The sequence below is a fragment of the Homo sapiens genome, chromosome 2, assembly GCF_000001405.40.
Source record: "Homo sapiens chromosome 2, GRCh38.p14 Primary Assembly".
NCBI classification, from domain to species: domain Eukaryota; kingdom Metazoa; phylum Chordata; class Mammalia; order Primates; family Hominidae; genus Homo; species Homo sapiens.
Window position 1 is genome coordinate 210,040,817 of NC_000002.12, and position 24,377 is coordinate 210,065,193.

Sequence of the window (24,377 nt, forward strand, 5' to 3'; positions counted from 1 at the left end):
ATTATAAGTATTAATAAATACTATTCACAGATGAATGGAAACAAATATACCCAAGAAGTCTTTAAGAAAACCTACACCCAAATCTGGCTGACTCTAAATCCATTCCATCCCATCCCTACAAACTTTGCATTTGAAATAATGAAGCTTCCAAAAAATTACATGCTTTTAACGTCTTGGGAGAAAACCACTATAAGTCAGATGCAACCTTTTATGAAAACATCAAAGTTCACATTCCCTTAATTTACCATATTATATATCACAATGAATATACTTTTATAAAGATTAAAACCTATTGACAAGCTAGTTTTGTTTTTAAATAGAGGCTTGGAGACTTTCAATTTACTATGTTTATATTCTGTACTCTCACAACCAAAGAGGAGTTAAGCAATGAAGTAGTTATGCTTCACATTTACTAAAGGTTTTTTCTTTCAGCCAAGAATGAAAAAACAAAATCATCTTAAAAAGCATTTATTAAGAGACACCTAACTTTTCCTTGAGAACATATTTTATAAAGCAGTTGATAATAGTGAAAATTTGGCTACTGAAAGAAGGTACTTTAAGGAAACTCATTTGAATACATAAATGAGGATAGACCCAGAAAGGGCCTAGATTTTATTTTTTATTTGTTTTTATTCTTGAGACAGGGACTGGCTCTGTTGCCCAGGCTGGAGTGCAGTAGCATGATTCTGGCCCACTACATTCTCAATCTCCTGGGCGCAAGCAATCCTCCCACCTCAGCCTCTCAAGTAGCTGAGACTACGGGTGCACAACTCCATGCCTGGCTAATTAGAAAATTCTTTTCTTTAGAGACAAAGTCTTATTATGTTCCCAGACTGGTCTTGAACTCTTGAGCTCAAGCAGTCCTCCCACCTCAGCCTCCCAAAGTGTTGGGATTACAGGCATGAGCCACTGTGCCCACCTGGCTGGGTCTGGATTTTAAACAGAAAAAAATGATCTCTTCTTCAAATAATGTATCTTAGTGGCAGATCCATACTCAGGTGTGGAAAAATATGCAAAACAAAAATTAGTTCATGAGTATCATCATGGAGTTTGTACCAAGGGACAGAGGTAAGATGAGTTTGAATCTTGATATTATGATCATATGAAAATTAGGTGACAAAATGAAAATGGGAATAAAAACTAAATATTCTCCTTTAAAATGCTCCTTAAACATTTCAGGATTCTGATATTTTCCAATTACCTGAACATAAATTTGTTGCATTTGTTTCTCCAAAGCAATATTATACTTATGAGGAGAGTATCACCAATTCTACCACTGTTCTTTGCAATTTGTGGGAAAACATGATCTAACAAGAAAAGGTCCTTGTTCGGTCTATGTGCCTTTCTTAATACCCGCACGTGACCTGTCAGCTTTTGTAAAAATATTTCATTGCTTTGAAACATTACCTTTCAGTTGTTTTAAACTAGAATGCGAGTACCTTGAGGGATTTATTTGTATTTATACTCCTAGCATTTATTTAGTACTTACATATAGTAGGTATTGAGATTTTTATTGAATGTAAGAAGGAATGGATATCATGAAATAGTAGATAAACAATCTAATCTCATTTATTAGAGGGGGCATAAGAGTCTTAGGATAAAGAGTATTTATACCAGCTCTCAGGGTTATGTCATCAGAGAAATATATTTGCTAATAAGAAAACAGGCAGTAAAGTAATGGTGAGTAGTTTGGTTCTGGAGAATGACTACCTCAAATTCTGGCTCATCATTTATTAGCCGAGTAATCTTGGATGAGTAGTATCACGAAGCTTAGTTTTCTCATATGTAAGATGAACAGAACAAAGATATCTATTCTCATGGAGTTGTGGGAATTAAACAAGAAAATGTAATGTGCTTAATATATACAAGGCTCAGTATATGCTAAGACTAAATGTTAGCTACATTATTATTGTTATATGGATTATTATTTTATCATATTATTAAGGTTTCCTCAAATATAGAATAAAATAGTTCTTGTTAAAAACTTAAATCAAGGTAATGGTGTAGCTAAGAAACCACTCTACTACTGATAAAAACTAAATTGAGATTCAGGGCAGGGAGACAGGTTCAAAACATAGTGCTTTACAAATAAATCAGTCCCTTGATTTTGAGAATTTAAAAGACCATCAGAACCATAAGCGGAAAATGGAACAAAAGCTAAGTTGAGATATCCCCCAGTAAAGAAGAACCGGAGATAACCAATGTGAGGGATGTTTTCTTTCTCCCCTAAATATTTACTTTAGTTCCAATATAGACAAGAGTGTAAAGGTTCCACAAAAATCAAGAACTGAAAATTTAAAACCACCTAGAGTAATCCTAGCATTTTTGGGAGGTTGAGGTGGGAGGATCACGTGAGGCTAGAAGTTCAAGACCAGCCTGGGCAATATAGTGAGACCCCATCTCTACAAAAAAATTTAAAAATTAGCTGGGTATGGTGTCATGCACCCAAGTAGTTCCAGCTACTTGGGAGGCTGAGGTGGGAGGATTACTTGAGCCCAGGAGGTCAAGGCTGCAGTGAGCTATGTTCACGCCACTATACTCCAGCCTGTGCAACAGTGCAAGACCCTGTCTCAAAACAAAACAAAACAAAACAAAACACTTTAGAGATGTAAGGATGTATAAGCCTCATTTACTCAGTTATAAAGTACAGATACTCTTGAGGTTGACTATACTTATAGGTACGCAGTTTTCTTCCCTCTGCATTGAGAAATTCAATGCAGATTATAAATGGAGAAATATTTTATGACAGGGAAACCTCCATGTATAACAGCACATTAGAAAAAGAACACTGAATTACCATTACTCAGAAACATTTCAACAGCACAGCCATGTTACCAATAAAATGCTCAAAATTTAACAAGATAAAAACCTAGTAATTTCCCAAAGTAAATCAAGTTGGTTTAGAAGGAATTAAAGAATCAACTTACACAGATAGAACATTAACCGTGCATGTGACTAGATTAATTCCTCTACAACAAATTTAATTGTCAAGGCATTGCTTAGTTCTAATATCTACTGAAAAAAAATTGATAAAATAAGATTTATTAGATTCTCTGTATTTAGAGGATTAGATTTCAGTACAGAAAATATCGTTACTTAGAAATTGTTACAAGGAGGCTTACCTGATGGCAATGATAGAACAGAATGGAAAGAGGAATCTAACTCTGATACATGTTCTCTTAATAGGTAAGACTCCGAATTGTGTTCATAGCTACTCCAAGTTGAAGCTGATTGCAGGCAAGGCATTTGTGTAGTGTTTAAAAATGCTGTTTCTTTTGAAGGCAAAGTCTGCAAGGAAAAACCGTATTAGAATATCACAGCCAAAGCATCCATAAATGGCATATCTCTACATTTATTTAGGTTATCTTTAAATAAAATTTTCCAGTTCTACAAAAAGTTTTACAAATATTTTGCTAGATGTTTTCCCAATTAACTTTAATATTTATTAATTCAATCATAAAAGGGATGTAAAAATATAATTAACTTTTATATATTGAATATTCTACAACTTTGCTATAAACTTTCTTTTTCTAATAATATATAGCTTCTTCTAGTCTTTGATTATCTAAACATACTAGCTGGGAATGATAACTGTAATTTTTTTCCTTCAATCCTACTAGTTTTTTTTTTAGGGAGTTCCAACCATGCTGGATGGGTTCACCAATTCAATAATGAATAAAAATGATCAAAGGAGACATATGTGTTTTGTTCCTGATTGTAATGGGAATGCTTTTAATTTATCACAATAAGAATGATATGGATTGCAGGGTTTGTTTTTTTTTGGGGGGGGTATGGTTCTTTATCAGAATATATTCCTAGCTTGCCAAAAGAACTTGAAAAAAAATATATTAATGTTGAATTTAATCATATGCTTTTTTTGAACCTAATAAAATGATTACATGACTTTTCTTCTGTACTCTATTATAAAGTGACAAATTGCATTAACAGATTTTATTTTTTATTTTATTTTTTTGAGACAGTCTCGCTCTGTTGCTCAGACTAGAGTGCAGTGGCAGGATCTCGGCTCACTGCAACTTCTGCCTCCCGGGTTCAAGCGATTCTCCTGCCTCAGCCTCCTGAGTAACTGGGATTACAGGCACGTGCCACTGCGCCCAGCTACTTTTTGTATTTTTAGTGGAGACAGGGCTTCACCAGTTGGCCAGGCTGGTCTCGAACTCCTGACCTCAAGTGATTCAGCCTGCCTCCATCTCCCAAAGTGCTGGGATTACAGGTGTGAGTCACTGCACCTGGCCACATTAACCGATTTTTAACATGTCAAACCAAGCTAAGGTTATTCTTGAATAATCCTGCTAGGAGTTTATCAAGTTTATTAACCTCTTCAAGGAGCCAGTAACTGGACTTGTTCACTTTCTATATTGTGTGCATGTTTTATATTTCATTGATTCCTACTTTGCTTTAAGATTAATCAAATATTTTCTTAAATTTTTCCCATCTCTTAATTTTAATTTATTTATTCTTTTATTTTCTTTTAGTGGTTTCCATAGAGATTACAATGTGCATCCTTAGCCAGCTGGCCTTTACAGTATAATACAAATTATTCCTTTTACCATTTCCCTGGAAATACTAGGACATTAGAACTCCATTTACTCTCCTGTTTTTGCATTACCATTGTTAGGCATTTTAATTCTATATATATTTATGACCTCACAATATATTGGTGTTATTGTTTGTATCATCAACATTCATGAATACCACCCATATATTTATCTCATCTCATTGCTCATAGCTCTTTCCTACAGTTCCCTACTTCCATGTGGGATCATATTACTTCTCCCTTTGCTACTATCATAGTGTAGGTTTGCTTTCTCCGAATTCTCTCAGTTTTTACTTGTCTGAAACATTTGCATCTTACCACTTTTAAAGATATTTTTATGAATACAGAATTCTGGGTTGGCTATTTTTTTTCAGTACTTTAAGGATACTTTCATTCTTCTGGTTCTCATTATTTCTGGTGATTAGTTAGCTCTAGGTTTTATTACTGCCCCCACTTGAAAGCAATGTGCCTTTTTTGCTCTGGCTGCTTTTAATATTTTCTCTGTGTCTTTACTTTTTTAGCAGGCTTACCATAAGATTCTGTCTTGGTCCATTCAGACTGCTATGACAAAATACCATAGACTAGGTAAATAATAGAAATTTACTTCTCACAGTTCTGGGGACTAAAAAGTACTAGATCAAAGTGCTGGCAGATTTAGTGTCTGACAAAGGTCTACTTTCTCACTGATAAGATGGCTGTAACCTCAAATGATGGAAGGAAGAGCTTTCTGGGGTTCCTTTTATAAGGGCACTAATTCCATTAATGACCTCATGACCTATTAACTTCCCAAAGGCCCTATCCAAATAACATCACATTGGGAATTAGGTTTCTACATATGAGTTTTGGGGGAGACTCATTCAGTCTATAGCATTGCATCCAAGCCCCCCAAAATACATGTCCTTCTCACATGCAAAATATTTCATTCCATCCCAGCAGCCCAAAAATCTTAACTCATTCCAGCATCAACTAAAAAATTCCAAAGTCCAAAATCTCATCTAAATATCATCTAAATCAGATATGGGTGAGACTCAAGGTGTACAATTCATCCTGAGGCTGTGAACCTCTAAAACCAACATATTACATGCTTCCAAAATACTATGGTGGGAGAGGCATAGGATAGATATTCCTATTCCAAAATAAAGGAATAGGAAAGAAGAAAGAAATGACAGGTTTTGAGCAAACCAACCCAACACGGCAAATTCCATTAAACCTGAAGGCTCCAGAATAACCTTCTTCTGCTTGATGCTTTGCCTTCCAGACCCAGTAGGCTATGGTCCCATCTCCACAGCTATTGGCTGCAGTCCCAAGCTTGTGGCTCTTCCAGGTGGTTATTCTGCCTCTGCCATTCAAGGTGACTTGGGGTCAAGGGCCTGTGGCTCTCCTAGGCTAGAATCATGCATGAGTGGCTTTGCCACACATAGCCTAAGCCATGGCTCCCTAAGTGTTGGCAGAGACTGTGTAGACACCACCAAAATCTACCACCTGTGCTGCCTACAGGGTTGGCCATCACAGCCTAAACTATATCAGGCCCACCAGAGCCACACTTTAGAGAAGCCAGTGGTGGGGAGCAGAACCCATAATGTACGGTTCTATTGGGCAGTGCATGCTGAGAGGTCTCACAGGCTCAGGTGGCTCCATATTTGAAACTTCTTTGCCCGAAGGGACTTTGCACTCTGGGCCTATGCTGGGAGGGGCAGCCTCCATTATCTCTAAATTGCCTTCAGGGCCATTCTTCTATTGTCTTGGAGAATATCTCCTGGCTTCTGTAGAGAGGGCTGATTGATACTAATCTCTTTATCAAAAGGCTCCTTGGCCATACCCTCAGTGTTTTCTCCAAAGCAGGCTTTCTCTTTCTTTACAATATGAATAGGCTAAGACTTTTGTAAATCTTTTAAGTTCTGCTTTCTTTTTGATTAACAGTTCCTCTTGTAGTCATTTCTTCTGGCACTCTATCATAAGCAGTCAGAAGGAGGAACCAGGTTGGTCCTTCAGCAATTTTCTAAGAGATTTTTTCAGCCAAATAACCAATTTCATTGCTTGCAATTTCTACCTTCCACAAGACACTAGAACATGAATACAATTTCACCAAGCTCTTTGCCACTTTATAACAAGGATCACTTTTCCTCTAGTTTCCAATAACATGTTCCTCATTTCCATCTGAGGTTTTATCAGAATGGCTTTAATGTCTGTATTTCTACTAACACTCTGTTCAGGATTATTTAGGCATTCTCTAAATAAAATGCATTTAAAGGCATTCCTTTTAAATAATCATTTAATAGTTTTTCCCATCTAAATCCAGTATCAGAATCACTTGAGTATCTGTCTCTATTGTCTGTTTTTCCTCTTGAATTTTGGTCATGTAGTCCTTTTCACCATGCTTACTAATCTTTGATTCAATGACAGATGGTATGTTTTAAAAACCACATAGGTTCCAAAGGATGCGATCTTTCTCTAGTGGGGGTTCTCTATCCCCACTACTAGCTAGATAAAATAGAGACTTCTCTCCTTAATCTGAGAGTATGAGCAGTTAAATCTGGGTTGCAGCCCTAGTATGATTCATACATATGATTTGCCCCTCAAGGTTTTCAACCAAATATTTGATTTATTTTATAGAATTATCCCCAGTCATCCAGACCTCTAATCTTAAGAGTATACTGAACAATGCCACCCTGCTTATAAGGGACTTTTGCCATTTATGTGTTAAGCATCCTGCTCTGTGCAGCCTCAGTATTCATCAAATGTTCTGAGGAAAACATTGGTCAAAAATGCTCTGAAGTGAAAACTGGCCATGTGCTTCATGCCTCCTAAAACATCACCAAAAGCATCCCCATAACTATCATTACTGGCATTTGCATCCAATTTAAAAATTCCTGCCAGAGCTTCAGGGTAATAGTGGTTGCAGAAGCCAGCTTCTGGAGACCTAAGTTAGACTTTCTCCTCTAACCTTTATTTTTATTAATTCTTTTTTCATATTTTCCATTTATTATTTCTCTCTGTGCTGTCTTTTGTGTAATTTTATTAAGCTTGATCTTTCAACGCAATTCTGTCTTTAGCTCTGTCTATACCCTTTTTAATCATATTAGCAATTTTCTGATGTATTTTCCTTAAAAAAAATTAAACTTACTTATTTTTACATTTTGTATGGATAATTCTAATATTTGAAGTTATTTTGTAGGAATATGTGTGTGTATATATGTGTGTATATATATATACACACACACATACATATACACATTTTAGAGAGATTTATTTTGTATATTCATATGCATGCATATATTAATACATACGTGTATGGTTTTGTTTTTGTTTGTTCATTTCTACTGACTCTCATCATGTGGCCTTAGTGTTGTGTGTTCTGTGATTTTTTTTTTCTTATTGGGAATTCATTTTTGTTGAAATTTTGTTCATGGGACATTTGGAAGCTTCTGTTGAGAGTTTATTCCCCTAGAAAGGATGTCTATTTGTCTGAGCCAGCCATCTAGAACTACTGTTCTAACCTATTTTAAAACCCAATTCTTATCTTCAAAACAAAAACAAAAACACTTGAGTAGCATGATTTCAAACTTCAAAAATAAAAGAGGCCTGACTTATTATAAATTCTATGCAGGCACTCTATTTTCCCTTTCCAACCACAGCCCAAGGCTAAGAAAGGCAAGTTCTCTGCATCTCTGTACAGTAGATCTGAGTTCTAGTTCACCCATTCACAAAGTCTATAGCCGGCCATTGGAGACTCTTGGCTTTATGAAGGATTTCTAAAATGACTCCTCACATCTTCCAGGTTTTTGCCTCCAGTCACTCTCAGGAATATAAAATAAAAACTTCTATGGAGTTTAATTGGAAAATATTCATAAGAAAGCTTCAGAATTCAATGGGTCACTTATTTCTCTGGATTCTTAGTATGTTTCTCTTCCACCCCCCCACCCCTCCACCCACCACACTTCTCTTTCCTCTCCCTTTCTCTTATTCTGAGGATTTTTTTTTAACCAGATGATTTATGTATTATACAAAATATTCTTTATATTTTACATTCTATTTTGTGGTACCTGGAGGTTTTTCTATGGTAATGTTCCTACCATACCACTGGAGTCAGAAGTGCAGAATTGGACCTAGCAACTGAAAGGTCACTCTGACCTTTAAAAAATTGTTTCAGGGAGGCTGAGGTGGGAGGATCACTAGAGCCCAGGAGTTTGAGTCCAAAGTGGGCAACATAGTGAGACCCTATTTTTAAAAGAAAAATTTTCTTTCAATAAAATGATTTTGTTGGCTGCCATACTATAGTAGGAAATTAGAAGCTAAAATAAGAAACTAGACATTATAGTGTTTCTCAAGGAATGCAATGTGTGACAGATGATCACAGACACTTTCAAACTTGTTGTGAGAAAAGATATTAAGTAATAGCTACAATTGGAGTTGCTATTAAAAAATCAGTTTTGATAGTAGAAAAGGCATTTTCATTTCTGCCCATGAAGGAGAACAGCTATAGGACTGATGTCAAACAACTGTTTTCAGAACTTGGACAATAGGCAGCACATGAGTGTTATCTCTGGGAAATGAACAACAAATGAGGTGATCCTCTAAATCTACCAGTTTGTTGCATGGTGGTATATACCCAGACTTTGGCACAAAGGAGGTGGCTCAAGTAGGGAGTAGCAGTCTAGCTGACTGGCAGAGACAGATGTTTGAGTTGGGGAAGGACGAGGCAGCTGTCATTTGCAGAACAGAATGCCAGAAAAGAAGTTAAGCCTAGAAAGGCTCCAGAAATCCTCACAGGGTGTCTTTCAATCTTTTGCTAAATAATAATCTATGTATGCATAGAGTGAAACAACACCAGGCAAATTTAAGAACAATTAATTCCAGGGGGCAGAAAAAAGGCATAAGAAAAGAACAAAAAACATGGGAGAAATAAAAAACAAATGGCAAGATGGTCAATTTAAACCTAACCCTATCAAAATTACATCAAGTATAAATGGTCTAAGCACTTCTAATTAAAAGGCAGAAACTTCAGATTGGATAAAAAAGCCACACCCAAATATATAACATCCACAAGAAAACCACTTTAAATATAAAGTAATAGGTAAAAGCAAAAGTATAGAGCAGACATACCACTCAAGCACTAGTCGTTAGATTGCTGAAGCAGCTATATAAATATAGTAGTCTCCCTTATCTGCAGGGGATACAGTGGATGCCTAAAACTTTGAAGAGTGGCAGGTGCGTGGTTCACACCTATAATCCCAGCATTTTGAGAGGCCATGGCAGGAGGATAGCTTGAGCCCAAGGAGTTCAAGACCAGCCTGGGGCAACATAGTGAGACCATCTCTACAGAAAAAAAAAAAAAAAAAAAAAATTAGCTGGGCACAGTGGCACACACCTATATTCCCAGGTACTTGGGAGGCAGAGGTGCAGGATCACTTGAGCCCAGGAGGTTGGGGCTGCAGAGAACTGTGATTGTACCACACTCCACTCCAGGGCTCAAGTGATCCTCCCACCTCAGCCTCCTGAGTAGCTGGGACTATAGGTGCACACCACCACACCCAGCTAATTTTTGTATTTTTTTGTAGAGACAGGGTTTCCCCATGTTTCCCAGGCTGGTCTCAAACTCCTGCGACCAGCCCAAAGTGCTGGGATTACAAGAATGAGCCACCATATCCAGCCCATACACTCTTTTCAAGTGTGCATGGAATGTACATGATGAACATTCCATGGCAGGAGGATCACTTGAGCCTTTAACATATCTTAATATTTAAATCTACATAAATACTATTGCTATGGAGAACTCATTCTGGGCCCATTTGTTTATACTTGAGCTAGTTCCCACATACTTTATAACTGTTAAGTCAGTATCTGGTAGTCCTGTCTACCCTCCTTCCCTTCTCTTCATGGACCTTTATTTGTCCATATTCACTTTTGAATGTTAAGTTTCCAAAATAGACAGCTGGTATTTTGACTAAGATTACCTTAAATTCAGGAAACTGGATGTCTCCCACTTTTAAGTCTTTATATCCTATATAAAAGTTTTAAATTTGTTTCCATAGTAGTCATATATATATATAGTCAATTCTCAGAAAATTGACAGTATGCTTTTGGGAATGTACCTTGTTTTTTAATATATTTTTAATTGGTTATTACTAATGTGGAAAAATAGTATTAGTTCTAATAATTTATTGATTCTGTTGGATTTTCTATGAAATTACTTCATGTGAAAATAATGACAGTTTTATTTCACCCTTACAATCAAAAAAATTTTCCTTCAGAACTTTGGAGACATTATTCTATTTTCATCTGGAGTCATTAATGAGAATTTCAATGGCAATTTCATTCTTACCCATTATAGGTCATAGTTTGCTTTTGTTAGCTGTTTTCCCTTCGAAGCTTTAACATCTTATCTTCTAGATATTCAGAAATTTCATGAGAATCTGTTTAGGAGTGGGCTGTTTATTTAATTCACAATGCTCAAAAGTTTGTGGGCCTTATCAAACTGAAGACATCATGTCTTCTTTTTGGCTGTGGAAATAGTCATGTATAATTTCTCTTTGTGTTCTGGGAGATTTATTTGACTCTATTTTCTAGTTCTTATACTAAAAAATTTTAATTATAGCTATTTTATTTTAAATTTCTTTCTTTCTTCTTTCCTTTTTTTTTTTTTTTTTGAGACAAGGTATTGCTCTGTCACCCACGGTGGAGAGTGGTGGCACAATCTATCAAGACTCACTGCAGCCTCTACTGCCTGGCTCAAGCAATCCTCCCACCTTATCCTCTAGAGTAGCTGGGACTAGAGGTGGATACCACCATACCTGGATCATTTTTAAATTTTCTGTAGAGACAGTATCTCACTATGTTGCCTAGGCTGGTTTTAACTCCTGGGCTTAAGAGATCCTCCTACTTCAGCCTCCCAAAGTGCTGGGGTTACAGGCCTGAGCCACCACACTAGGCCTTATTTTAAATTTCTAAAGGCACTTTTTTTTTGTTTGTTTGTTTCATGATTGTTTCTTTAGTACAACAGGCTGCCCTGGAAGTTATTGTCTGTTCTTTGAATTATTAATTTCTACCAAGGTCAGCTATATTCTCCTTCTTGCTGATGGCTTTTCCTTAATATGTTTAATGACTCAGAAATACTGGAAATGCTTTAACTCTAAATCTCTGTGTGGTTTGTTCCCTCCTCACTTCAATCAAGTCTCTAATCTAACGTCAGTTATTCCAGAAAGGACTTCTGACTCTCCTATCTAAAATAAACTCCTTTTTCCTAGAATTTTCTATCTCCTTACTTTAGTTCTATTTTTTTCCCCAAAGCACAGCATTAGTTAACATTTACACTTTTTCTCTCAATTAAATATAAGTTCTATGAAGGTAGGAACCCTTTCTGTCATGTTCACCACAGTATCTCCAATGCCTAGGCACTGTGTGGCACACGGTAGGTACTTAATATTTCTTTACTAGAAGATAGGAGGAGGGAAGGAAGAAAAGAAAGAAGGAAAGACATAATAAGTAGGCTATTCTAAATAGTTGTATATGCCTCTGCTATTGTACATGAGGCTCTATTTCCTCAATAGGAGTCCTTCCTAAATGGAAAGACAATAAATTTTGCATACATCAGCTTTGCACATATGAACTGGACTTGTCAACTTGGCGGGCTTAACCTGGTGGAATTCTGCATCTCTCAAGTCTCATTCATGTTAAGCAGATGCTAACTAACCTTATGCTCATCAATATGAAAGGGAAGCATGAATGATAGCATACTAAGAACTATAGCCATTTAAATGCAATGTGTATAATGCTTTTATCAGGTAACTTCAAGTTTATTTAAAGGCCTGAAGGGAAGATAATGGTCCATTTTTTTTGGTCATAGGTGAAGTATCATTTGGATTACAATGGACTGTTTTGTCTTTTCAAACTTCTCCTGAACAAGTAATATTGGGCAATAAAATAATCTCTAGTGAAAACAAACAGGCCAGATGTGGTGGCTCATGCCTGTAATCACAACACTTTGGGAGGCCGAGGTGGCCAGATCATTTGAGATCAGGAGTTCGAGACCAGCCTGGCCAACATGGTGAGACCTTGTCTCTACTAAAAATACAAAAATAAGCTAGACATTGTGGCAGGCACCTGTAATCTCAGCTACTTGAGGGGCTGAGGCAGGAGAATTGCTTGAACCTGGGAGGCGAAGGCTACAGTGAGCTGAGATCACACCACTGCACTCTAGCGTGGGAAATAAACCGAGATTCATGTCAACACAAACAAACAGAAAAAAAATACAAGATAATTATTTTGTAACTCAAGAAAAATTTTAAATTCTGACTCAAAACCCAAAAAGTATAATGAAAAGGTTGATAAATTCAATCACATTAAAAAACAAATAACTTCTGCATAGAAAGAAAACATTAATTAAAGAGAAAAGACAAACTGTGAAAAAAAGTCATAAAAAACAAAGGGCAAATTTCCTTAATATATATGTATATATCAGAAAAAATGTAATAAAATATAATTTTCCTAATATAGATAAAGAGCTCCTACAAATCAATATGAAAAAGGCAACAAATCCTCAACAGAAAAATGGGCAAAGGATATAGTTAGTCAGTTTACAGAAAGAAAATATAATGGCTCTTAAACATATGCAAAGATGGTCCAGATCTAACTCATATTAAAATAAATGTAAATTGAAACTAGACGGCCGGGCATGGTGGCTCACACCTGTAATCCCAGCACTTTGGGAGGCCGAGGCCAGTGGATCACAAGGTCAGGAGATTGAGACCATCCTGGCTAACACGGTGAAACCCCATCTCTAATTAAAAAAAAAATACAAAAAATTAGCTGGGCGTGGTGGCGGGCGCCTGTAGTCCCAGCTACTTGGGAGGCTGAGGCAAGAGAATGGCGTGAACTCAGGAGGCGGAGCTTCCAGTGAGCCAAGATCACACCACTGTACTCCAGCCTGGGCAACAGAGCGAGACTCCATCTCAAAAAAAAAAAAAAAAAAATGGTAACTAGACTATAACACCATTTTTTACCTATTGTATTGGCAAAAAAGCCCAAAATTTTAATAATTTACTGTGTTATAAAGATGTTGGCAAACAGGCAGCCTCATGCATTGCTGGTGGGAATGTAATTTGGTTCAATTCTATTGAGGGCAATTTGGCAAAAAAAATTAAAATTTATAAATGTACAAACTCTTTGTCCCAGCAATTCAACTTCTGGGATTCTAAGAGATATACTCACAAACATGTGGACTGAACTTCCTCAACATGATAAAGGGCATGAAAAACTCACAGTTTATATCATACTCAGTGATGAAGACTAAAAGCTCTCCAAGATCTGGTACTGATATTCAACATTGCACTAGAAGTTCTAGCCACAGCAATTAGGCAAGAAAAAGAAATAAAAAGGGAAGAAGGAAGGGTAGGAAAGGGAAAAAGGAGGGGAAAGGAAGGGAAGGGGGAAAGGAAGGGAAATGGGAAAAGGAAAGACAAAAAGGAGAAAGAAGAAGAAGAAAGAAAATACTATTTGTAGACAACATGTTCCTAGATACAGAAAACCCCAAAGAACAAACAAAGTTACTACAGCTATTAAATGAATTCAGAAAAATTGTAGAGTACAAAATCAGTAGTACATAAAAATCAGTTGTGTTTCTATGTATCAGTGATACGGTTTGGCTGTGTCCCCACCCAGATCTCATCTTGAATTGTAGTTCCCATAATCCCCACATGTCATGGGAGGGACCCAGTGGGAGGTAATTGAATCATAGGGGTAGTTACCCCCATGCTGCTGTTCTTGTGAATTCTCACGAGATGGTTTTATAAGGGGCTTTTTCCCCTTTGCTTGGTATTTCTTCTTGCCGCCACGTGAAGAAGTACATGTTTGCTTCCCCTTCTTCCATGATTGTAAGTTTCCTGAAGCCTCCCCAGCCATGCTGAACTGTAAGTCAAACCTCTTTCCTTTATAAAAGACCCAGTCTTGGATATGTCCTTACAGCAGTGTGAGAACGGACTAACACAGTAAATTGGTACTGCAAAGAGTGAGGTGCTGCTATCAGGATGCCGGAAAATGTGGAAGTGACTTTGGAACTGGGTAACAGGAAGAGACTGAAACAGTTTAGAGGGCCCAGAAGAGAACAGAAAAATATGGGTAAGTTTGGAACTTCCTAGAGGCTTGGAGGCTCACAAGACAGGTAGATGTGGGAAAGTTTGGAACTTCCCAGAGAATTGCTGAATGGCTTTCATGAAAATGCTGATAGAGATATGGACAATGAAGTCCAGGCTGAGGTGATCTCAGATGGAGATGAGGAACTTGTTGACAACTGGAATAAAGGTGATTCTTGCCCTGTGTTAGAAAAGAGACTGGCAACATTTTACTCCTGGCCAAGAGATCTGTGGAACTTTGAACTTGAGAAAGATGATCTAGAGTATCTGGTGGAAGAAATTTCTAAGTGGCAAAGCATTCAAGAGGAAGCAGAGCATAAAAGTTTGGAAAATTTGCAGCCTGACAATGCAGTAGAAAAGAAAAACCCATTTACCAGAGAGAAATTCAAGCCTGCTGCAGAAATCTGCATAAGTAACAAGGAGCAGAATGTTAATCACCAAGACAATGGGGAAAATGTTTCCACCTCATGTCAGCAACATTCATGGCAGCCCCTCCCATCACAGGCCTGGAGACTTAGGAGGAAAAATGGTTTCGTGGGCTGCGCCCAGGACCCCCCTGCTCTGTGCAGCCTTGGGGTGTGGTGCCTGCATCCCAGCTGCTTCAGTTCCAGCCATGGCTAAAAGGGGCCAAGGTACAGCTCAGGCCATTACTTCAGAGGGTGCAAGCCCTAAGCCTTGGCAGCTTACGTGTGGTGTTGAGCATGTGGTGTTGAGCCTGTGTAGAAGTCAAGAACTGAGGTTTGGGAACCTTCGCCTAGCCATCGTGCACAGCCTCTCTTAGCTAATTTCTGTTCCTCCATTCTCTCCCCGCTGCAAATTGCACTGTAAAAGGAACCAAATTAATCTTTCAAAAGTAATACTTTTATCATTTCACTCCTCCACACCAAAACCATCACTGATTCCCTGATGTTGTGCTAATCACCGAATCATTATCATCATCAACGTCATTCACATTTGATGAGGATTTATATGCCAGGCACTGAGCTAAATATCTTTTTTTGAGACAGAGTCTCGCTCTGTCACCCAGGCTGGAGTGCAGTGGTATGATCTCGGTTCACTGCAGCCTCTGCCTCCCTGGTTCAAGCAATTCTTGTGCCTCAGCCTCCCAAGTAGCTGGGGTTACAGGCATGCACCACCATGTCCAGCTAATTTTTATATTTTTAGTAGAGATAGAGTTTCACCATGTTGGCCAGGCTGCTCTCGAACTCCTGACCTCAAGTGATCTGCCTGCTTTAGCCTCCCAAAGATTGGATTACAGCCATGAGCCATCGTGCCAGGCCTCAGTTAAGTATCTTTCAAATGTATTTTCTTATTTAATATCAACACACCTCTAGAAGGTAGCCTTTTTCTTCTTTTCTTCATTGCTGATTCAGCTAATGTCTTAATTTAGAGCTGTCCCTGTGTCCCAAAGCAGACGCCAAGGCAAAGATTGTTTAATATCAATGGTCACAAATTTCTTCAATCCCTGTGTGTATGCCCCTTTGCTGAAATTTCCCCTTTGCTGTAAATTCCATCCCTGTGTGTATGCCCCTATTTCTCCATCCCTTTGAATTTGGGCTGACCAAGTCACTTGCTTTGTCCTATAGAATGCAGTGGAAATTATGTTGTTTAAGATCTGGTGGGCTGGGTGTGGTATTTCACACCTGTAATCCCAGCACTTTGTGAGGCCAAGGTGGGCAGATCCCTTGAGGCCAGGAATTCGAGACCAGCCTGGCCAACATGGTGAAATCCCATCTCTACTAAAAATACAAAAATTAGGTGGGCATGGTGGGACTTGCCTGCAATCCCAGCTACTCAAGAGGCTGAAGCATGAGAATCACTTGAACCCTGGAGGCAGAGGTTGCAGTGAGCCAAGATCGTTGACACTGCACTCCAGCCTGGGAGAGAAAGTGAGAGTCTTTCTCAAAAAAACAAACAATAGGGCCGGGCGCTGTGGCTCACGCCTGTAATCCCAGTACTTTGGGAGGCTGAGACAGGCAGATCATGAGGTCAGGAGATTGAGACCATCCTGGGTAACATGGTGAAACCCTGTCTCTACTAAAAATACAAAAAATTAGCCGGGCGTGGTGGCAGGCACATGTAGTCCCAGCTACTCGGGAGGCTGAGGCAGGAAAATGGCATGAACCCGGGTGTTGCGGGAAGCCAGGAACCCTGAATGGAGGGACCGGCTGAAGCCATGGCAGAAGAACGTGGATTGTGAAGATTTCATGGACATTTATTAGTTCCCCAAATTAATACTTTTATAATTTCTTACGCCTGTCTTTACCACAATCTCCGAACATAAATTGTGAAGATTTCATGGACACTTATCACTTCCCCAATCAATACCCTTGTGATTTCCTATGCTTGTCTTTACTTTAATCTCTTAATCCCGTCATCTTCGTAAGCTGAGGAGGATGTACATCACCTCAGGACCCTGTGATGATTGCATTAACTGCACAAATTGTTTGTAGAGCATGTGTGTTTGAACAATATGAAATCTGGGTACCTTGAAAAAAGAACAGGATGACAGCAATGTTCAGGGAACAAGAGAGATAACCTTAAACTCTGACTGCCAGTGAGCCAAGGCGGAACAGAGCCATATTTCTCTTCTTTCAAAAGCAAATGGGAGAAATATCGCTGAATTCTTTTTCTCAGCAAGGAACATCCCTGAGAAAGAGAATGCGTCCCTGAGGGTAGGCCTCTGAAATGGCCGCTTCAGGGGGCGGCTGACTTTTATGGTCGAAGCTGTGGGGATGAAATAAGCCCCAGTCTCCCGTAGCACTCCCAGGCTTATTAGGATGAGGAAATTCCCACCTAATAAATTTTGGTCCGACTGGTTGTCTGCTCTCAAACCCTGTCTCCTGATAAGATGTTATCAATGACAATGCGTGCCCGAAACTTCATTAGCAATTTTAATTTCACCCTGGTCCTGTGGTCCTGTGATCTCGCCCTGCCTCCATTTGCCTTGTGATATCTTATTAGCTTGTGAAGCATGTGATCTCTGTGACCCACACCCTATTCGTACAGTCCCCTCTCCTTTTGAAAATCACTAATAAAAACTTGCTGCTTTTGGCCAGGCGCAGTGGCTCATGCCTGTAATCCCAGCACTTTAGGAGGCTGAGGCAGGTGGATCACGAGGTCAGGAGATCGAGCCCATCCTGGCTAACATGGTGAAACCCCGTCTCTACTAAAAATATTTTTAAAAAATTAGCCGGGCGTGGTGGCGGGCGCCTGTAGTCCCAGCTACTCGGGAGGTTGAGGCAGGAGAATGGTGTGAACCCGGGAGGCGCAATTTGCAGTGAGCTGAGATCGCGCCACTGCACTCCAGCCTGGGAGACAGAGCGAGACTCCGTCTCAAAAAAAAAAAAAAAAAAACCTTGCTGGTTTTACGGCTCAGGGGGCATCACGGAACCTGCCAACATGTGGTATCTCCCCCGGACACCCAGCTTTAAAATTTCTCTCTTTTGTACTCTTTCCCTTTATTTCTCAGACCGGCTGACACTTAGGGAAAACAGAAAAGAACCTACATGAAATATCGGGGGTGAATTTTGCCCAATATCTGGCTGAATTTCCCCCATACCCAGGAGGTGGAGCTTGCAGTGACCTGAGACCACGTCACTGCACTCCAGCCTGGGTGACAGAGCGAGACTCCGTCTCAAAAAAAAAAAAAAAAAAAGATCTGGAGCCTAGGCTTCAAGAGGCATGTAACTTCCTCCTTGTCATATTGGAGCACTGTCCTGAGGTGCCATGGAAGGAAGCCATTCTAGCTAATGCAGCATGAGAGGCCACAATGAGAACTGAGTTGCCCCAACCAACAGCCAGCACCACCTGCCAGAAGAGCAAGTGAGTCCCACTTCCGCCAGCACAGCTGGCCCTCCAGCTGAATGTAGCCATATGATGGTAGTCCTATTTTTATGGATGAGGAAAACAAAGTAGTAAGTAATTTGCACAGTACTGCACACTATTAAGTAGAACAAGGATTACAATCCAGTATGAAACCACTAAAATGTGCTGCTTCCCTACAAAAAATAACTTCTAGACTCTTTAATTTGGTAGCTTCCAAATTTATCTGCAATTATATAAAGCATATTTTCTCACAGGAATATGTTATACATGCTATAAATTTATCTCTCCAGTCAACCTATAGAAGTCCCTGGAGTACAGAATTGTTACAGCAAGGTAAGAAAATCCTCAACTAAGATAATTCCCATTGTCTAAAGCAGATGCTCCAGTAGGTGTGGCATGGAAGAAAGAGTTGGCTTCCCAGCAGCATAAAAATACTACTTAAGTAACTTTTTTTTTTTTTGAGATAGTGCAATGGCATGATCTCAGCTGACTGCAACCTCCACCTCCCGGGTTCAAGCGATTCTCCTGCCTCAGCCTCCCAAATAGCTGGGATTACAGGCACGTGTCACCACGCCTGGCTAATTTTTTGTATTTTTAGTAGAAATGGGGTTTCACCAAGTTAGCCAGGTTGGTCTCGAATTCCTGACCTCAGGTGATCCACCCACCTCGGCCTCCCAAAGTGCTAGGATTACAGGCGTGAGCTATCATGCCCAGCTTCCAGTAAGAATTTAAATTTCTATGAGATGATATCTTTATTTTTCTTTAAAATCTTCTATTATTTGTTCAAAAAAGTGGCCTGCATTCACATAAAGTTTACATACCTAATCATTCACATTTTAAAAAGGAAATGAAAACTTTCAAATGAAATTATTATATGTACCTTAATTCGTACCACTGGATTATTTTATTAAACCACTCAGCATTATGATTTGAGAATCTATGAAATAACAATGATGATACAGACTACAAACACTACTTTTGCAAATCTGCCATAGGAGACAGATAAAAGATCACAGATGAACAAATTAAAATAGGAATAGTTCTGCCTTATTTCATAAAGGTTATAATATTCATTATTAATGTTACTTCAATTTATACATGTTAGGTCACTACAGCTGTTTTCATAAATATGAAATGGCTTGTGGATTACATGCTAAAATTCATAAAAAATGAAAAAATTATCCTGCTCAAAATAGTTTCCCACCCAACATTCCATAATCTTAATAATGTGACCATTTTGAATTTAATTTACTACTTCTGCAAGACCAGCGTCTTGATATGCAAATAGCGTTCTTCAGAGTAACAGTATCATTGGTAAACAGCTTACCAGAGATTAGCAGGTCAACTAGTGACAAAACAGGCCAGTTATATTTGTATGGAAATAAGAAGAGGAAAAGAAAAGAGCTGGGTAATTTGAAGAATACCATGAGAAAACAGGAAGCATACATAACATCACTAGATACCAGAGGGGTGGGAACCACCATGATGGGGATAATACAAGATAAGTGAGTGTCCTGCAAATAAAGTTTCATTCATTTAAAACTTCTGCCCAGTTCATGTTTCTAATATTTATATCACATTGATTTATTTATTATTGCTCAAGGGCTGCAACTATTAATAGAGAAGAAGTAATCACCACTGCTACTCCCCACCCCCAATATGGAGGAGGGTGATTGGGAGCATGACCAAATAAAACTCTGGGCTTTTCCCTACCTTCAACCAACCATTTCTACTTTTATTAATTTCATATAAAATAACCTCTGATCTAAGTGATTGAATACACTTCTTGACTTATTCTTACTCAAACAATTAGGTTTATTAACTAAAATCTTATAATACAATAAGTAGACTGCCCTAACTCAAAATATAATTATTGTAACTATTAGCTTCCTATATAAACAATTTGTATGTCCAATTACCTACAACCCGCTTCTATAGAAAGTGTATTAGGAATTCTAATCTTGGATGCCAGAGGCCTCTGTTCACCATTCCCAGTGGGAAAGAGAACTTCCTTTGCCAGGAGTTAATCAGGGTGGCTTCTGTTGTCTAAGGCTGAGACATCAATAGTATAGGGCCTAACGTTGCACAGCAACTGGGTATAAAGACTATCAAGAAGGAGCTGAAGAAGCATATTATGATCAGATAAACATTTTTAAATTATTAATTGCAAGTGAAATTTTAAAGAATGCTATTAGCTACATTTATATTTTAAGAATTATACTAGAGTATTATTCTGAAAAACATTTTCACATCTAGCTATGCCTACCAGTGTATTTTCTGGATCTAAAGATACATCTATATTCTAGGTAGATAAAGCAACATTATCAAGCACAAAGAAGCATAGATTCTCCAAGCATAAACTAAAGTGTACCAGTAATGAATAAAGTGGCTTAGACAGCAAAAGATATGATTCTCTTAGAATAAGAAAGCCAAACATTCTTAAACAGCCTTAGAAACTACGTGAAGTTTTAACAATTGTTTATATGGGCTAGTCATAGAAAGAAACAGTCTGAAAAACTCATAAAAGATTCAAATCAGATGTAGAAATCAAGCTTATGAAAGATGTAGTGTTAAGATTCGGCATTAACATTTAAGAGAAAACTACCAAATTTGTATTTATATTCATTTAAATAGTGCTAAATATGTGTATCTTCTCATTCCACTTTGTACTTCAGTTTCTCTAAGTAAAATGGGGTATGAATATCAAATTAAAAATATATTTAAAGCATTTAGAAGTTGATATGGTTTAGTTGTGTCCCCACCCAAATCTCATCTTGAATTCCCATGTGTTGTGGGAGGGACCGGGAGATGTAATCGAATCATGGGGGTGGGTCTTTCCTGTGCTGTTCTTGTGATAGTGAATAAGTCTCATGAGATCTGATGGTTTTAAAAAGAGAAGATACCCTGTACAAGCTGTCTTCTCTTGTCTGCTGCCATGTGAGACGCACCTTTCACCTTGTGCGGTGATTGTGAGGCATCACCAGCCACGTGGAACCGTAGTCTATTAAATCTCTTTTTTCCTCCCAGTCTCGGGTATGTCTTTATCAGCAGTGTGAAAACGGATTAATACAGTAAATTGGTATCAATAGAGTAGAGCGCTGCTTAGAAGATACCCAAAAATGTGGAAGCGACTTTGGAACTGGGAGGTTGGAACAGCTTGGAAGGCTCAGAAAACAGAAAAGTGTGGGAAAGTTTGGAACTCCCTAGAGATTTGTTGGATGGCTTTGACCAAAATACTGATCATGATATGGACAATGAAATCCAGGCTGAGGTAGTCTCAGATGGAGATAAGGAACTTGTTGGGAACTGGAGCAAAGGTGACTCATTATGTTTCAGCAAAGAGACTGGTGGCATTTTGTCCCTGCCCTAGAGATCTATAGAACTTTGAACTTGAGAGAGATGATTTAGGGTATCTGGTGGAAGAAATTTCTAAGCAGCAAAGTATTCAAGAGGTGACTTGGGTGCTGTTAAAGGTGTTCAGTTTTAAAAGGGAAACAGCATAAAATTTGGAAACGTTGCAGCCTGACGATACAATAGAAAAATCCTATTTTCTGAGGAGAAATTCAAGCTGGCTGCAGAAAGTTGCATAAGTAATGAGGGGCCAAATGTTAATCCCCAAGACAATGGAGAAAATGTCTCCACTGCATGTCAGAGGTCTTCATAGCAGCCCCTCCCATCACAGGCCCAGAGGCCTAGGAAGAAAAAGTGATTTTGTGGGCTGGGCCCAGGGTCGCTGTGCTGTGTGCAGCCTAGGAACTTGGTGCCCTGTGTCCCAGCTGCTCCAGTCATGGCTGAAAAGGGTCAATGTAGAGCTCAGGCTGTGGCTTCAGAGGGTGCAAGCCCCAAACCTTGGCAGTTTCCATGTGGTGTTGAGCCTGCAAGTGCATAGAAGTCAAGAGGTTTGGGACCTCTGTCTAGATTTCAGAAGATGTATGGAAACGCCTGGATGTCCAGGCAGAAATTTGCTGCAGGGGTAGAGTGCTCATGGAGAACCTCTGCTAGGGGAGTGCAGAAGGGAAATGTGGGGTCAGAGCCCCCACAAACAGCCCCTACTGGGGCACCACCTAGTGGAGCTGTGAGAAGAGGGTCATTGTCCTTCAGACTCTAGAATGGTAGATCTGCAGACAGCTTGCACTGTGTGCCCGGAAAAGCTGCAGACACTAGACGCCAGACTGTGAAAGCAGCCAGGAAGGGGGCTATACTCTGCAAAGCCACAGGAGCCCAAGGCCATGGGAGCCCACCTCTTGCATCAGTGTGACCTGGGTGTGAGACATAGAGTCAAAGAGATCATTCTGGAGCTTTAATATTTGACTGCCCTGCTGGATTTTGGACTTGTATGGGGCCTGTAGCCCCCTTTTTTTTTTGGCCAATTTTTCCCATTTGGAATGGCCATATTTACCCAATGACTGTACCCTCATTGTATCTATGAAGTAACCAACCTGCTTTTGATTTTACAGGCTCATAGGCGAAAGGGAATTGCCTTATTTCGAATGAGACTTTGGACTGTGGACTTCTGAGTTGATGCTGAAATGAGTTAAGACTTTGGGGGACTGCTGGGAAGGCATGATTGGTTTTGAAATGTGAGGACGTGAGATTTGGGAGGGGTTGGGGTGGAATGATATGGTTTGGCTGTGTCCTCACTCAAATCTCATCTTGAATTCCCACATGTTGTGGGAGGGATCGGTGGGAGGTAATTGACTCACGGGGCCAAGTCTTGCTGTTCTTGTGATAGTGAATAAGTCTCACAAGATCTGATGGTTTTAAAAAGAGGAGTTCCCCTGCACAAGTTCTCTCTCTTTGCCTACTGCCATCTACGTTAAGACATGACTTGCTCCTCCTTGCCTTCCACCATGATTGCAAGGTATCCCCAGCCATGTAGAACTGTAAGTCCATTAAATCCTTTTTCCTGTATAAATTACCCAGTTTCAGGTATGTCTTTATCAGCAGCATGAATATGGACTAATACAGAAATTAAAATGATGCCTGACACATAATTGCTTAATAAATATTAGCTATTATTATTTGACATTATCATTAGTGTTGTAAAATGAGCAAAGTCAAGTAAAAATGCATAACAATCTATGCTTTTTATTAATCCTGTCTAGCAAAGGAATCATAACCTCTGCAAATAATTATTCTAAATAATTATTCCTATCAGTTTACCTCTACCTCTTCCATCTTACTGCTCTAGTAGAAAAATTAGGCCAGGGCAGTGGCTCATACCTGTAATCCTAGCACTTTGGAAGGCTAATGCAGGAGGATCATTTTTTGAGCCCAGGAGTTCAAGACAAGCCTAGGCAACATAGAAAGACCCTGTCTCTACAAAAAATTTAAAATTACCTGGGTGTGGCAGTACATGCTTGTACCAGCTACTTGGGAGGCTGAGGTGGGAGGACTGCTTGAGCCTGGGAGGTCGAGGCTGCAGTGAGCTATGATCGTACCACCACACTCCAGGCTGGGTGACACAGTGTGACCTCATCCCTCCCCCACCAAAAAAAAAAAAAAAAAAAAACACAGGAAAAAAAATTAGTGTAACACTTCCTTACAAAAAAGTGGAGTATAGAAGGAGTACATTACGAACTCATAGAGCTAGCTAAGGTTTCTAGGCAGAATGTGCAAAGGGCCAAATGGTTTCATTTAATTGCCTATGATAAAGTATGGATGGTGTAGGATGATCTTAAAAAGAAGCTGTTAGGCCAAGCATGATGGCTTACGTCTGTAATCTCAGCACTTTGGGTAGGTGGATCACCTGAGGTTAGGAGTTCGAGACCAGCATGGCCAACGTGGTGAAACCCCATCTCTACTAAAAATACAAAAACAGCCCTGTGTGGTGGTGGTGCCTGTAATCCTAGCTATTGGGGAGGCTG

General features: G+C 39.1%; 1 protein-coding gene and 1 long non-coding RNA gene across 14 annotated transcripts in view, besides 1 other annotated feature; one reads left to right on the top strand and one right to left on the bottom strand.

The window, feature by feature from the left end:
• The window catches only part of KANSL1L-AS1 (KANSL1L antisense RNA 1), a 34,435-nt gene extending 10,895 nt beyond the window's left edge, over window positions 1-23,540 (top strand). Inside the window, exon 5 of the long non-coding RNA NR_110291.1 lies at window positions 22,968-23,540. This is a non-coding gene — a long non-coding RNA (KANSL1L antisense RNA 1). The remainder of the gene's footprint in view (window positions 1-22,967) is intronic.
• KANSL1L (KAT8 regulatory NSL complex subunit 1 like) overlaps window positions 1-24,377 on the bottom strand; it is a 151,340-nt gene that overhangs the window by 19,396 nt on the left and 107,567 nt on the right. For 11 of the 13 annotated variants that reach the window (XM_047443489.1, NM_001307976.2, NM_152519.4 and 8 more), the window contains one exon: window positions 3,123-3,288. In XM_047443489.1, coding sequence (XP_047299445.1) covers window positions 3,123-3,288 — 166 coding nt within the window. Of the gene's footprint in view, window positions 1-3,122; window positions 3,289-24,377 lie in introns of those variants that run through there. The other 2 variants (XM_047443490.1, XM_047443491.1) reach the window with 2 other exon arrangements.
• Window positions 6,027-6,753: an enhancer, noted in NCBI's record as "NANOG hESC enhancer chr2:210911567-210912293 (GRCh37/hg19 assembly coordinates)". NCBI's record gives its function as "activates a minimal SCP1, AML or CMV promoter by ChIP-STARR-seq in primed H9 embryonic stem cells {active_cell/tissue: H9 hESC(primed)}" and the evidence as "EXISTENCE:reporter gene assay evidence [ECO:0000049][PMID:30033119]".